This window comes from Homo sapiens, chromosome 7, assembly GCF_000001405.40.
Source record: "Homo sapiens chromosome 7, GRCh38.p14 Primary Assembly".
NCBI classification, from domain to species: Eukaryota; Metazoa; Chordata; class Mammalia; order Primates; family Hominidae; genus Homo; species Homo sapiens.
This window is the reverse complement of record NC_000007.14, coordinates 132,592,365-132,607,170: the sequence shown is the minus strand read 5'-3', so window position 1 is coordinate 132,607,170 and position 14,806 is coordinate 132,592,365. Positions and strand designations below refer to the sequence as shown.

Sequence of the window (14,806 nt, the reverse complement as noted above, 5' to 3'; positions counted from 1 at the left end):
TTGGTTAACTGTGGATTATTGAAAATCTTTGTTTTGGTTAGTCTCGTTAAACTTTTTCAAAGGCTTCTGTTCATTTTCCTTCCTCAGATGTTTGAATGTTGAACATTATCTACTTTTGATTTGGTGATTTAGAAAGCATCCAGGATCATGATTCAGAAACCCCATTCCAAAAATGCCAGTTTTTATTATGCTTGACCATAGGTGTGGAAGGCTCAGGGGACTGTGTGAATCTCACTTTGGGATGCATTCCTGATTTTGTTTGGCTAAATTCCAGATATCAGCTTGTTTCCCGTGATTTGCTTCTACTGAAGTTGAAGGCAGAGAATTCTAAATATATGAGAGCTCGAGCTGCTTTCTGATGAATGAAATTTTTTGCCATATATCAGGTGCTCCCTCCTCCCTAATTTTTCTCAGGCTTAAAGTCAGGGGTGGCCCTGTGAATCTAGAGAGTTACGTGTAAAACTGTGCCCAGCCCCATTGCTAACTCTCTGTGTGAGTTTGGTGGTTCAGTTAGTTCTGCTATAATGCTTGTTTTGGAAATGCAAATCTGTTCCAATGCAATTGATGGATTAGGGAATGATTTGAGCATAACACAGATTTCACATTTACTTATGTGCGATTTAGCCTACGAGAAACACTAGGTGAATGCAGAAAACTGCATACAGCTGAACTGAGTGGCATGAGAATGTATAGAACGTGTGCTTACACACTTCAAAGGTGACCCAGTGACCTTGGTTGGTTTCCCTTTTGTTACCCTAACCTGCTCAAGGAACTAGGTTTTTCTGATGATGACTACTATTTTCCTGGGGCTGACATAACAAAGTACCACAACCTAGGTGGCTTAAAACAACAGAAATTTATTCTCTCACAGCTCTGAAGGCTGGAATTCTAAAATCAAGGTGACTGCAGGGCCATGCTCCCTATGGAACTCTCAGGAGAATCCTTCCTTACCTCTTCCTGGCCTCTGGTGGTGGCTGTCAATTCTCCGTGCTTCTTTTCTTTTATTTGAGACAGAGTCTTGCTGTGTCGCCTAGGCTGGAGTGCAATGGCATGATCTCGGCTCACTGCAACCTCCGCCTCCCAGGTTCAAGCGATTCTCGTGCCTCAGCCTCCCTTGTAGCTGAGGTTACAGGCGTGTGCCATTGTGCTCAGCTGATTTTTGTATTTTTAGTAGAGGCGGGGTTTCACCATGTTGGCCAGGCTTGTCTCGAACTCCTGGCCTCAAGTGATCCACCTGCCTCAGCCTCCCAAAGTGCTGGAACCACAGCCGGCCTTTGGTGTTTCTTGACCTGCATCTGCATGGCTCCAGTCTCTGCCTCTATTTTCACATGATGTTCTTCCTGTGGGTCTCTCTGTGTCCAAATTTCCCTCTTTGTATAAGAACACTAACCATATTGGATTAGGGTTCACCCTGATCCAGTCTGATCTCTGCTCAATTTGATTACATCTGCAAAGCCTCATTTCCAAATAAGATTACATTCACAAGTACTAGGGCTGAGGACTTAACATTTTTTTGTGCATGTGAGGGGTGGGGGTGGTGGTGACACAATTTAACCTATTAATAATAACCAAACCAAGTTCCAACTCTGCCTGGCTTTCTGTGTCCCCAGAATTGGCCCAAATCTACCAATGCCACCTACCCACTTCCTAACAGGCCCCCCAAGCACCATCATGCTTCCAAGCCCTTGACCTTTCCACCACTTATCATGTCACCCACCTGTTCTCCAGGACCAAAGTCTAGTTCTGCCTTGTCCCCAAATCCTGGGGACAAAGATCTGTTGACTCTATCACTGGATCCCCTCTCTAAATTCTTACAGCTGTTTCTCAGACATAGCCTCATCAGTACAGTAAATAACAAAAGCAATGCCTAGTCCAAAGGGTCTCATCTACCGGGGCTACGAGGCAAAGTGCATGGCCTTGGCACACCGCCGCATGGATTTGGATCTTAGCTCTGCCGTTTCCTAACTGTGTGACCTTGAATAAAATGACTTATCTTCCCCATGCTCCATTCTCTTCATCAATAAAATGTGGATAAGAACAGTGCCAATCTCGTAAGTTGTGAGAATTAAATGAGATGATTCCTGCAGAGTGCTCAGCATGGGGCCTGCACATTTGTTAATTTTATTGTGAGTGCTGAGGACACTTGCCTTTTAAAAGCACTGCTTTTTAGGTTGATGCTGAGCCTGGGCTGGTGTGCACTGCTAGGACTGGAGTCAACAAAGGAAGAGCCATCAAGGGCTGGGACAAGAGGGAAGTGCAGGACCAGGAGGGTTGAGTCCCAGGGAGAGGCTGTGGCTAGGGTCAGAGTCCGGTGCAAGCGGAGTCATATCTAGGGGACAGGACTGAGAGATGTCACCATCTGCACATGGGAATAGAGGTATGTCACGGTCCCTGCATCTGTACAGAGAAATGGCTTATCAAATGAATGAGTTATTGAATAATGATAAGTTTAGTTCAAAGTAGTTGTAGGATATATAGATAGGGAAGATGTCCCAGTAAGTAATTATATCAAGTCAGATAGTTGGCTGGGCAGGGGTGGGGTGGGGCAGGAGAACCTGTGGCATCTCTTGGCCAATTCTCTTATATTACATAAGTTGATGTTTACTGTTTATTGAAAAACAACTGTTTACCAGATTATTAAGACTCTTTTCTATTTCATGTAACGAAACCAGCACAAGCTACTTTTCACGAGACAGAGAACCTTATTTTGAGGATGCAAGGGTATGAGTTTCATGGAACCCAGGGGCAGAGATGAATTAGAAGCAGAGCCTTGAATGATATCTACCCTGTCTCCTGTTTCCTGTCCGTATATCTATGTTCCTCTTCTCTCTCTTCATCTGAAGACTAGCTCCTCCCATTGTTCCAGGCTGGTTGGCAGAGCACAGGGTCCCCATCAGCTCCTGAGCTAGTGGGAGTTCATGGGCCACTATCCAGAGAGAGACTGATTTCTCTCAGCACTCATCCAGTGCAGAATCTTGGGGAAAGGCATGCATATTGGCCTGGCTTGTGTTAGGTGCCCCCCGCCAGAACACAGAGGGGTAGTGGAGTCAGGTACCTTAGCACCCACCCTTGCAACACAAGGAACTTCACAGAAGAGGGGTGTGGACAGTGGTGGGCACAGCTGGGCAAATAACCCAATTGGATAGTCTGCTAGGCACTTTAGGCATGTTATCGTTTAAATCCTCACCACAACCTTGCAAAACATGCATTAACTTTCCCAATAAGGCACCATCAATACATAGTGGATGCAAGGTTTTAATTTAGATCTATTTGAAACAAAGGACCCCGCCCCAAATTAAGTGATTTGCTCAAGGCCAGAATTAATTGGTAGCTAAATATGCACTCATCAGTGTGATACAGTTTTTAAAATTCAAAACCATACTCAAGGAAGAAATATAAATATACACCGGTCCTCACAGCTGGGAGTCTAATATACTTGGTTGAAGTCCAATATCTGACTCCCAAGTCCTAAGGTTGGCCCTGCCCTTTTGCATGCTGTATGAGCTGGCTCCTGGGGAATGCAGGCCCCCTCCCATAGCAGAATCTGTACTTTCAGCAGTGGCTTCTCTACTCAAGATGTTTACCTGTGAGACTGAATCCTGGCCAGCAGGTGGTCAAAAAAGCTGGTGCATATTAGAGGCTGGGCTCGTCCACTTCTTCCTGCAGGCAAAGCTGGTACCAGAATCCTCTTAGGGGAGGTCAATGAATCTTTTGCTTAGAGACCAGACACAATCACTGTCTGGATTATCTGCAACTCAGGGCTGCCGAGTAGCTGGGCAGAAGTGATTTACGGAGGAATAGTTCCTGACAAGGGATTCTGGTGACCTTATAAACCAAGAGACTGAAGCAGCTCGGCTCCTCTCTTCCCGGGGTGGAATTAATTCCACCTTAATCTCTGCAGTCCATTTGATATTTTTTTTTCAATAAAGAGAATACAGATCCCAGCAGTCTATGTTGCTTCTTGGAGACATTTAAACAACCAATCTCATTAGTGTGGGAGCTTCTTCAAGGAAAATTGAAACCAGCAAACTGGCTATGAGAAGAATAGAAACATACTATGGAAAGGAAGGAAAATAGGGAAACTTTTAAATGCTTTTATTTGCAGGCTAACAGCTCTTTTCTGGGTACTTTTGGTATTTCTTTCATTTTTTAATTGATTGATGGGTTGTAAGTGGTTGATAGGGCATACTTAATGGAAAGTTTTGGTTATGGTGGGGGAGAAGTTCTCTTTCTTTTTCCATGTTTCTTCTGGTTCATAGAATTGTACTAACACTTCCCGATGGCATTAGAGAGATCTTTCCACTTCTCAGTGACTCTTCCACGGGTAGAGAAGAATCCATTGAAAGGTGAGACAATGAGAGTCTGACGACCTTCTCACCATGTCTGTGTCTCTTCACAGTGCAGATCTGTATCAATGGCTGATTCTCATGTCTCTGATCCCTCTTGTACTCTCTTCCCTCGCTAAGATGGGAGGCAGGTCCTTGTCATCCCTGGTAACTATTTTGGTGGCTGGGTAAATGTCTTTTCTGCAAGCTCAAACCTTCCTTGTGTGTGAGGATCAGGGTTGGGGCTTGGAAAGAAAGACTGGGAAGCTTGTTTGGGTCTTGAGTGCAAACTTTTCTCCTGGTCACAAAAGCAAATATTTTTTAATGTAAATCAGGTGATTTTGAAGTTGATTTTGAGCAGAACACTCTGAGAAACTCCCCATAACAACAAGGAGACCACGGGGCCATAAAGGAGCTGGTAGACAGAGGCAACATGGTCTCTTGGTCGTATAGGTTATAGAGCATGTAGCTGTCATCTGGGGAGCTTGCTCTGGACTGAGCTCCAAACCTCCCTGCAAAGCCATGACTGAGAGAGTGGACTCCAAATGACAACTCATGAAGGAGGTGAAATAGCCCTTTGAGAGTCAAGCTCATTAGCCACAAAGGGTGGACAAAGTTCTCATATTTTTGTCCAGTGGTCTTTGACCTTGAAAAGAACAGGGAGTCTAATTACCTCGCTACCTAGAGAGTCAAACCTGAGAAAAATCATACCAGAGTCTGAAAAATTTGAGGCTTACTTGGATTTTGCCCAGGCAGTCACTAGAACTGAAAATTATTCAGTGTTTACATGAGTAAACCTAGATTCTTCTATGGTAAAAACCTTTGGGACTGGGCCTCATTGATTTAGAAAAGGCAAACTTGTCCAGCAAATTGAGATCTGAGTAAGAATGAGAGATAAATCATAGTCTCAGCTCCCACATTGCTTTTCTCATGTGTGAAATGGGGATTTAACATCAACTTCTTTCTTAGATCTTTGTTGTGTGTGCAAGGACATCTTTCAGAAAAGGATCAACAAGTACCAACTGAATCAATTACTAATCTATTCCCTCTATTCTAATCATTTAATATGTTCAGCTACATGTGACAGAAACCTCCCTCTTGCCACCACAGAAAAAGACCCCAAACTGTGCCTTAAACAACAGAGGAGTTCTTTCATAAAGAAGTTCAAAAGCTATCATCTTGGGCTACCATGAAAGCTTCCGGGTACAAGGAACCCAGGCACTTTATCTTGTTCTTCTGTCATGTAAGACTTCCATTCCCAAGGTCACCTCCTTATCCATTTTAACTACTGGAACCCTAACCATGAGATGCAGATTCAAGAAAGCAAGACTAAGAAAGGGGAGGAAAAAAGACACATCTTTTCCCTTTATACTTTCTTAAGTTGTACCCACCATTTTCACTTGTATCCCATTGACCAGAAGGTAATCACTTTGTCTTTATTTCAGATGGTTGTGTGCCTAGCTAGAATTAGGGGTTCTGTCACTAAGGAAGAAGAAAACAATGGGGGGAATCTCTCACGGGCTCTACCACACTATCAGAAATGTTTACTGTTTTTTTTTTTCTTTTGACTCAGAAGGCTCAATTATATGACCTCTGGAGGTTTCTTTAAATAGATATGTATTTTTTTACATTAAATATTCCTTCAGGAAAAATTCCCTCAATATTTACTGAACCCTCCCATGTGCTAAGTGGTATAGTAGGTATTTTGAGGACTATGAAGATTGACAAAACATATTATCTGATCTCAAGGTGTTTACAATTCATTTATTCAATAAATATTTGATAGAAAAAAGTTTCTGTGTACTAAGTATATGCTAAGCTCTGGAGATAGAAAGTCAAAACAGAAGTATGGGATTAAACCAAAGAAACAAGAATACATGAAATAATAAATATAAGGGCAGAAATCAATACAACTAACAACAAAAGAAAAATAATAGTAAAGATTAATATAACCAAAAGTGAATTTTTTCATATTATTGGTAAAATAGACTTCTGAAGACACTAATCAAGATAAAAGAGAGAAGATACAAATAATAAAATATGAAATTTAAAGAACTATAGACAAATCAGGAAGTAAAATAATAAGAGTGTTATGAATAATTATAGGCTAGATGTAATGGATACATTTTTAGAAAATACAAAAAGTCAAAATTGGTACAAGGAAAAAATGAGAGGCAGGGTGCCATGGTTCATGCCTGTAATCCCAGCACTTTGGGAGGCTGAGGCCAGGGGATCCAGGGATCCCTTGAGCCCAGAAGTTTAAAGCCAGCTTGGGCAACATGGTAAGATCTTGTCTCTACAAAAAATAAAAAATAATTGGCTGGGCATAGTGGCACACACGTGTGTTCCTAGCTACTTGGGAGGCTGAGGTGGGGGATTGCTTGAGCCCAAGAGATTGAGGCAGCAGTGAGCCGTGCTCACACCACTGCACTCCAGCTGGGGTGACAGAGTAAGACCCTGTCCCAAAATAAAATGATAAAATAAAATAAAGATCATAATTAGACCAAAAATATTAAAGAAATTGAAGTGATAACCAAAGACATCTTATCTCCCCAAACTCTAAGCCCAGATAGTTTTAAGGTTCATTCTATCAAACTTACAAAGAACAATGAAATCCTACCTTTTACATATTATTTTCAAGAAAAGAGAAGGAATAAAAGTTGAAGTTAGTATAGTTTTTATTTCAAAATGAGGTAAGAGCAATGTAAGAAAAGAAAACTATAGGCATATTTCACTTATGATAAGTACAAAAATCCTAATTAAAATATTAGCTAACCAAATTAAACAATGTATTCAAACACATCATTATCAAGTAGGATTTATTCCAAGTGAGCAAGGATGGTTTAACAAAAGAAAAATCTATTAACATAACTTATCGTATTAATAGGCCAAAAGGCAATATTCATACAATTATCTCAATTGATGAAGAAATACATGATAAAGTTCAACAGCTGTTTATGACAAAACTCTTAGCAAATTAGGAACTATGGAAATTCCTTAAACTGGTAAAAATACACCAAAAAAGAAAAAGTAAACATTATCTTTATTGAAAAAAATTTGGACGTATTTACCTTAAGACTGAGAATAGAATAAGACGGCCGTTATCAGTGCTATTGAAAGACAATATAGCTGTGTTTGACTATAAAAAAAGAAAAAAAAAAGGGGGAGAAGTCTAAATGCTGGAAAGGAAGAGATCAAAGTGTTATTGTTTGCAAATGATATGATCACTTACCTAGAAAACACAAGACAAACTACTAGAATAAATGAAAGATTTCTGGGTATCAGATCTACCTAAAACAAAATGGCATTTTTCTACAACAATAACAAAATATAAAATATTTAAAAATAGAGTGTTATTCTCATTAGTAATAAGAACTAACCAGGAATTAATTTAAGAACACCTGAGGTCCTTCCAGAGAAAAAGTTAATATGTAATAAAGTACATAGAAGTTGATCTGAGTAAATGGAGACACATGCTATGCTCAAATATAGATTTTTAATATTTTAAAGATATCAATTAGTCTCCAATTAACCAATATGTGTGTTGCACCTTTGAATCAAAATTCCAGTTGATTTACAGAGCTCAATGCATCTACTCTGAAATTTACATAGAAGGATAAAAACCCACCAACAAAGCAAAGATCATAGGAGGAGTGAGTAGGGGGACCTACCCTTCCAGACTTTAAGACATATTAGAAACACGTGGTAGCAAAAACTGGGGTGGTCAGGCAAGAACAGCCAAAAAAATCAATGGAACAGAGTCAGTATAGGGAGCAAATATACAGTTAAGATGAATTATGAATTAATGAGGGAAAGATGAACTATTTAATTAACAGATTTGGCTAAATTTACTTACCATACAGATAACCATTACACTAGTTCCCTACCTAATGCCACATATAAAGGTGACCTAGAGACGGATTAAAGGCCTAAGTAGGAAGGACTAAACTATAAGGTTAAAAGAAGATTTCCTTTGAGACCTAGAATAAAGGATAACTTCTTAAACGGAATTTTAAAAGCACAAAATATAAGGAGAAAAGTATTTTATTTACCATAATCATATCAAAATTCAGGATTTCTATTAGATGAAGGATACCATGGACAGTGAATGAGCTGATGACAATTGGGAGAAGATAGTTTACTGTGTCTAAAACTGACAGAGCACTGTTATTTAGAATTCACAGGAAATTCTTGCAAATCAACAAGCAAACGATGAGAACTCCAAATGAAATACAGGGAAAGGTTATGAATAGGTAACTTATAAAAGAGGAAACCTTAACAACTAACAAGTATATGCAGAAATAATCCAAATCTCTTTAAAATGCAAATTAAAATGTTACTTTAATGTAGTAGACTGACAAAAATGTGGAGGTTGAATAATGTTTGTTGAGGCTGCAGGAATATGGAAAATCTCATGCCAATAAGAATATATATTTTGGCCAGGCGCAGTGGCTCACGCCTGTAATCCCAGCACTTTGAGAGGCCGAGGCTGGCGAATCATGAGTTCAGGAGTTTGAGACCAGCCTGGCCAACATAATGAAACCCCCTGTCTCTACTGAAAATACAAAAATTAGCCAGGCATGGTGGTGAGCACCTGTAGTCCCAGCTACTGGGGAGGCCAAGGCAGAACAATCTCTTGAATCCGGGAAGCCGAGGTTGCAGTGAGTTGAGATCACACCACTGTACTCCAGCCTGGGCGACAGAGCAAGACTCCATCTCAAAAAAATACAAAAAAAAAGAATATATATTTTGTCGTAGACATTCTGAAGGGCAACATAGCACAAGTTAGTCACACATATTTGTTAACCATATGACACAGAAATTCCACTCCTGAGTATATATTCCATAGGTCCCTAACGGGATTGCACCCAGGTGCAATCTGGGTGCCTATCAACAGGCAGTAACAAATGTAAAATGTGGTAGAAGCATACGATGGAGTGCTATTGAGAAGTTAAAAATTACAGATTGGATGTATATATATATATAGAGAGAGAGAGAGAGAGAGCGCAACATGGATGGATTCTTAGAACTTAATATTGAGTGAAAAGAGTAAGGAACAGAATGAAGCATATGACATTATATATGTATGTAAATTAAAATTCTATATGCATGAAATATACACATATTTTACAAGAATGCATACAAACAAAAGACCCTCATTAACCTTAACAGATTTGTAGTCAGTGGTCAAGGTAACAGGATTGGGAAAGGGAAATAAAGGGAATAAATAAATACATGAATGAATGAATGAATGAATGAATGAATGAATAAAAGGAGAGAGACGATGCATGATTGAATGTGTCATGAACTAGGAATATGGTTGACTCAATTCTCTGGCCTAAAGCCTAGTCAAATAGAAAAGAAAAAAAGAGATGATTAAATATGGCCACTAGGTCTTACAATTTAGTAAAAGGACATAGACATATTTCATTTAAAAAATAGGTTGGAATTATTGAGATATTTTGGAACAATTCTGCTTGTGATAGAATAGTGACACAAATGATGATGTAGTGACTTCTATCTGAGTGGGGACTGGGGAAATGAGAAGTGGCCTTATAGAGAAGACAACAAACTATTGGGGGAGACCGGCATGAACAGAAATAATGTAATTCAGAGAATGATAGGGAAAAATTCAAAGTGAATTATCAAAATGAATTCAATGGGAATGCAAGGAAAGGCATGATAATTCTGCAGAGGGAATTGAGGAAGGCACCTTGATCCTGAGCAAAGCCCATAGCACCGGGCTGGTGACTCAGGCAATCAGCCAGTCTGGGGTCACATCTAGGTCCAGAAGTGGCTGCTGACTTTAGCAGACTATGCATGGAAGCCCAAATCAAAGCTCTGCACAATCGTACTCCCAATGTAGTTAGTGTGACCTAAGAACCAATCAATTAGTAATAAAATATAAACTTTTATTCTGCTTCTTCAGTGAGGAGGTGAATCATTTTAAAACCAGGTTCCATGCTGTTTTTTTTTTTTTCAGGACCATGGCATTTAGATTCTGTTTCCAAGTTTGTAGATGTAATGAGATGATTTATCATGGGAAATTATTGCATGATCATCAAAAAGTAATGAAAGTTGTCACAGCCTTCCTTCTTAATGGTATTTCTCCCTGACCTCCTTCTTCCTACCCCTAAAATGAGCTCTAGGACTCTAGCATGGAGCCAACCTAGGGGTCTGATGCTATTTAATTCATGCAAGCAGTCAACCATAAATGCATTTTTCAGAAGTAAAGACAACTTCCGTAACTTTTTAATTAAAGCATAAAAGCCATTAATTAAAAAGACATAAATCACTGAGAAACCTTTAAATCTTCATAATCTTTTGTGGCATTGTATGTGTGTTTCCAGCTGTGCTCACTATAGTTTCAAAGGCAGCAGAGTCCAGAAAGGGCCAGCACTGTTCTCCAGCGTCCTGGGGCTGTGGCTTGGCAGGACCAGGCATTCAGTGGCTCTGTCATAGTGGAGGTGCTGGTGTGGACCTCACTCAATGGAGAGAGAGGCCTGGAAGATCTTGGAACAGGAACATCCAGCCCTGCTTCTCTCTTAATCTCAGCCCACACTCAGAGTGTTTAGTAGGTCAAGATGGCAGCCATTTCTAGGGGATAGAGGGACAAGTCAGTCAACACCAGAAACAAGCAATCATACAAATCAAGAATATACAACACTTACAAAACTATCAGCTTGGGTTCATCAAAAAGTCAGTGTCATGAAAGAAAAAAGTTGGAGGACTGTACTGGATTAAAAGAGAGTCAACAGACACTACAACCAAATACAATGTGTGAATTTTGATTGGATCTTGGTAATTGTAAAAAAACCCTATAAAATATATTTCTTAAGATGATGGAAAAATTGAGTAGGGACTTGATGTTAGATAATATAATGGAATATTATTAATTTTATTATGCACAATAATGGTATTGAAGGTATGTAGGATAATGTTTCGTTCTCAAAAGAGGTTTGCTGAAGGGTCCAGAAGTGAAATTTCATGATGTCTACAAATGTGACAAGATGATAACAATTATTGGGTATAGGTGGAGGGCACCTAGTGTTCATTTTATTAATCTTAAACAGTTTATATACATTTGAAGCAACTTTGTCACAATACTTGGGGGAAGAAAGAATGGCAGCTTCTTTGTAACTTCTATCTGATCTTCCTCTACATGTGGGTCACCAATGTACTGACTGAACGAGAATCAGGTTGGGCCAGTGTATCTGGACAAGTTTTCCTCTGTTGTGACTTAGTGCCTGGGTGTTGTGAAAGTACCCCTTTTCCAGATTTTAAAATAATATGGGTTTTAAGAACAAGGTAATTATTCAGGTCTTCCCTCTGGAGCACTCATTGGTGATCCACCCGTATCTGGGGATTTAAAACTTATGCGCACAGAATTCCTTATTCTCCTGGATCTCCCAATTTAGCATGGGAGACGGATGAATAGTCAGGCAGCCAGTCTCCATGAGGCATCATCCCATGCAGAGGCTTCTGATACCTGTGTAATCGAGTCTGCCATGATGCCTGGTGCCCCTCCAATATTGGGGATACCATGCTCCTTCTTTCTCTGTTTAAAGATAGACAACAAGGGCATCATATACATCTCAAAGTGGTGTTTATTGTTCTGTGAGGCATTGGACATCACTGCTGGGTGCTGGAGGTCTCTGTGGGAAGATGGGGAAGTGGTAGGTCACAGAATCTTTCAAGTGGTTGGGTTCACTGTGGAACTTGAGATGGTGACTAGAGTCTAGAGTGGGACCGAGTCTCTAGGATCTAACAGGATCTAAGCCTAGCAAAGCTCTCTATCTATCTGTCTGTCTGTCTGTCTGTCTGTCTATCTATCTATCTATCTATCTATCTATCTATCTATCTATCTATTATCTATCAATTATCTATCTATCTATCTATCTATCTATCTATCTATCTATCTATCTATCTATCTACCTATCTATCTATGTCTGAATGGAAACACCACTGGACTAGACCCAGAAATCTCCATACTTTCTAGCTCCCACATGAAGTAGCCACCTTCTCCCAGGGCTCAGTGCCTGAAGAAGCAGACTGGAATTACGTGGGATGGAGTCCAGCAGGGTCCCATCAAGGGATCAGCCTATCCACGCAGCTGGAGAAGAAAATGTCCCCCCATACAGCCTTCCCTAAATTTGGAACCGTTCTTTGTCAAAACTGAAAAGGGCTTTAATTTAGAGAGTGAGAGCTGGAGGGACCTTGGAGATCACACCATGGTTTTCAAAGTGTGCTGCCACGAAGTTGCGGGACTTCAAATGGAAGTTCAAGTGGAAGTCAAGACTCAAACAGTTTGAAAGCTGCAAATCAAGTCCAACTTGCTCACCTTATAGAAAACGAGCCCATTAGTTTCCTAGGATTGCCATAATGAAGTATCACAAACCGAGTGGCTTAGCAGAAATCTACTGTTTCACAGTTCTGGAGGCTGGAAGTCTGAGATCAGGGTGTCTGCAGGGTCGTGCTCCCACTGAAGGCACCAGGGGAGGTTGTTTCAAGCCTTTCTCTTAGCTTCTGGTAGTTCCTTGGCTTGAGACAGAATAACTCCATATGGAGAACATGGTATTCTCCATGTACGGGTGTCTGTGTCCAAATTTCCCCTTTTTATAAAGACACCGGTCATGTTGGATTAGGCTCCCATGCTCCTCCAGTATGACCTCATCTTAACGAATTACATCTACAATGTCCCTAATTCCCAAAAGGTTACATTCTGAGATATTGGTGGTGACCACTTTCACATATGATTTTTGCGGGGGACACAATTCAACCCACAACAGTGAGTAGAGAGGCATAGACTTGCCTTAGCTCAGGTAGCCTTGCCTGGTCATGGCCCCATGCCTGGGTCTGGGTCTCTTGGTTCACCACCCGGAGCTCCCTTCATCACTGCAAACTGCTTCCCACCTGATGCTCGGGCTGAACAAGGATGCCCAGGCACACTTTTCTCAGCCCTAGCATAGGAACCGCTTGCCAGTTTTGGGGTGCCTTCATTCAACCTCTTTTTGTGAGTGCCTGGTCTCCCATTTGGGAAATCCCCTATTGTATGGCCCTTCCATGGCAGGCAGCACTTGTTTCCCTCTCTGGGGACTGAAAGGGCAGACCCTCTTTCTCCTGTCTTCAGGGAGCCCATGTGGATATACGCCTTAGGCTGAGCCAGTGAGACCTGCTGCCTGTGACTTGGTCCCTGGAATGAGTGATGGCACGACGTGGAGGCCACATTTGGGCCCCAGTGCTGCAGCCACGCCTGCACCCACCTGTCCTGTAGGGTGGCCTCATGGGGCCTTCTCCTGAGCCATCCTCCTGGACTCCCTGCCTTCTCACTTTTGCGAGTCCCTGATGTCCTTTTAGTAAGTTCCATCTTTGCCTAGGAGAGGCAGATGGCATCCATTTCCATGATGGACACACCCAGGGTGTCACTGCTTACCTGGGGTGGTGTCACAAAATTCATCTTGATTTTAGGATGAGCCAGGACAAATCATGAGACCCTAAAGATGACAAATGACCATTATGTGGATTTTTTTTTTTCCTAAGTGAGACCTGAGACCTGTTCTCTGAGGGTGTGACTAACCCAACCAGCTTGGAGCTGGGGTAGGCAGGGAGAGGAGCTAATTTAGATTCCACAACAGCCCACGCTGCGCGTCAATTGTGTGGGTAAACAGCTTCCCCACTGGCAGAACACCAGGCCCAGCGATTTTATCTTGTTAAAACTGAGCCTAAACAAAACAGATAAGCGCTATATCATCCTCACGAATTAGTCCACCTCTGGTTTATCTTGTGAGAGGCTTGCCACCCTGTCATTTGTGTCACTGTAAACATAGGTTGGGTAGATCACTCTTAACTAATTTAATTTGCTTTGAAATGTATATGTGTGTGGGGGACCTCCTCTAAACCAAATTATTTGGAAAAATAACATCAAGGTGAATGAAGAAATGCATGTGGCAAAACAAGGTCTTCGGGTTTTTTTTTTTAAATTTTTTTTGCTTCTGGAAAAAAAAAGGCACGTAGGGGTTTATTTTTGATTAACTGCCTTAGCCTTGCTTTGGTATTTATCTTTCTGTGGCAGCCCCTGATCTAGTCACAATGTGTAATTCCATTAGCATTATCTCTATTCATTTGAGAGGGGCTTCAGCCTGGACAGCCACAGCATGAAAGGGCTACAGCATTCTGGAGGCTTATTTCTTATTTCTTCAGCAAGTTTATTCCTTTATCGGCAGCTCGTTTAAAGGGAGCTAAAGGGGACCCCGTCAAATCGTTAAACGAGAATTTAATGTGGGTTTTTAAAGGCAAACCCAAAAGCTTTTCAGAAAAAAAAAAAAAGGTTAAATTAAATAAATGAACAATGGCCCACAGCAAGCATAACTGATGGCTGAGGATAATGCAGACGGGCCTCAGATTTATGAAGGAGGTTTTATCTTTGTCCTTTTAATGAGAAGAGTGATTTTGATCGGGTGTCAGGACTCCTGGGTGCATTC

The 14,806-nt window shown here is 41.0% G+C and overlaps 1 protein-coding gene across 1 annotated transcript in view, besides 1 other annotated feature; it reads left to right on the top strand.

The window, feature by feature from the left end:
- Positions 1-14,806, top strand: part of PLXNA4 (plexin A4) — a 525,349-nt gene that overhangs the window by 41,518 nt on the left and 469,025 nt on the right. The window lies entirely within an intron of this gene.
- Positions 12,455-12,655: a silencer, noted in NCBI's record as "peak6731 fragment used in MPRA reporter construct". NCBI's record gives its function as "represses an SCP1 promoter by STARR-seq MPRAs in K562 erythroleukemia cells {active_cell/tissue: K562}" and the evidence as "EXISTENCE:reporter gene assay evidence [ECO:0000049][PMID:32103011]".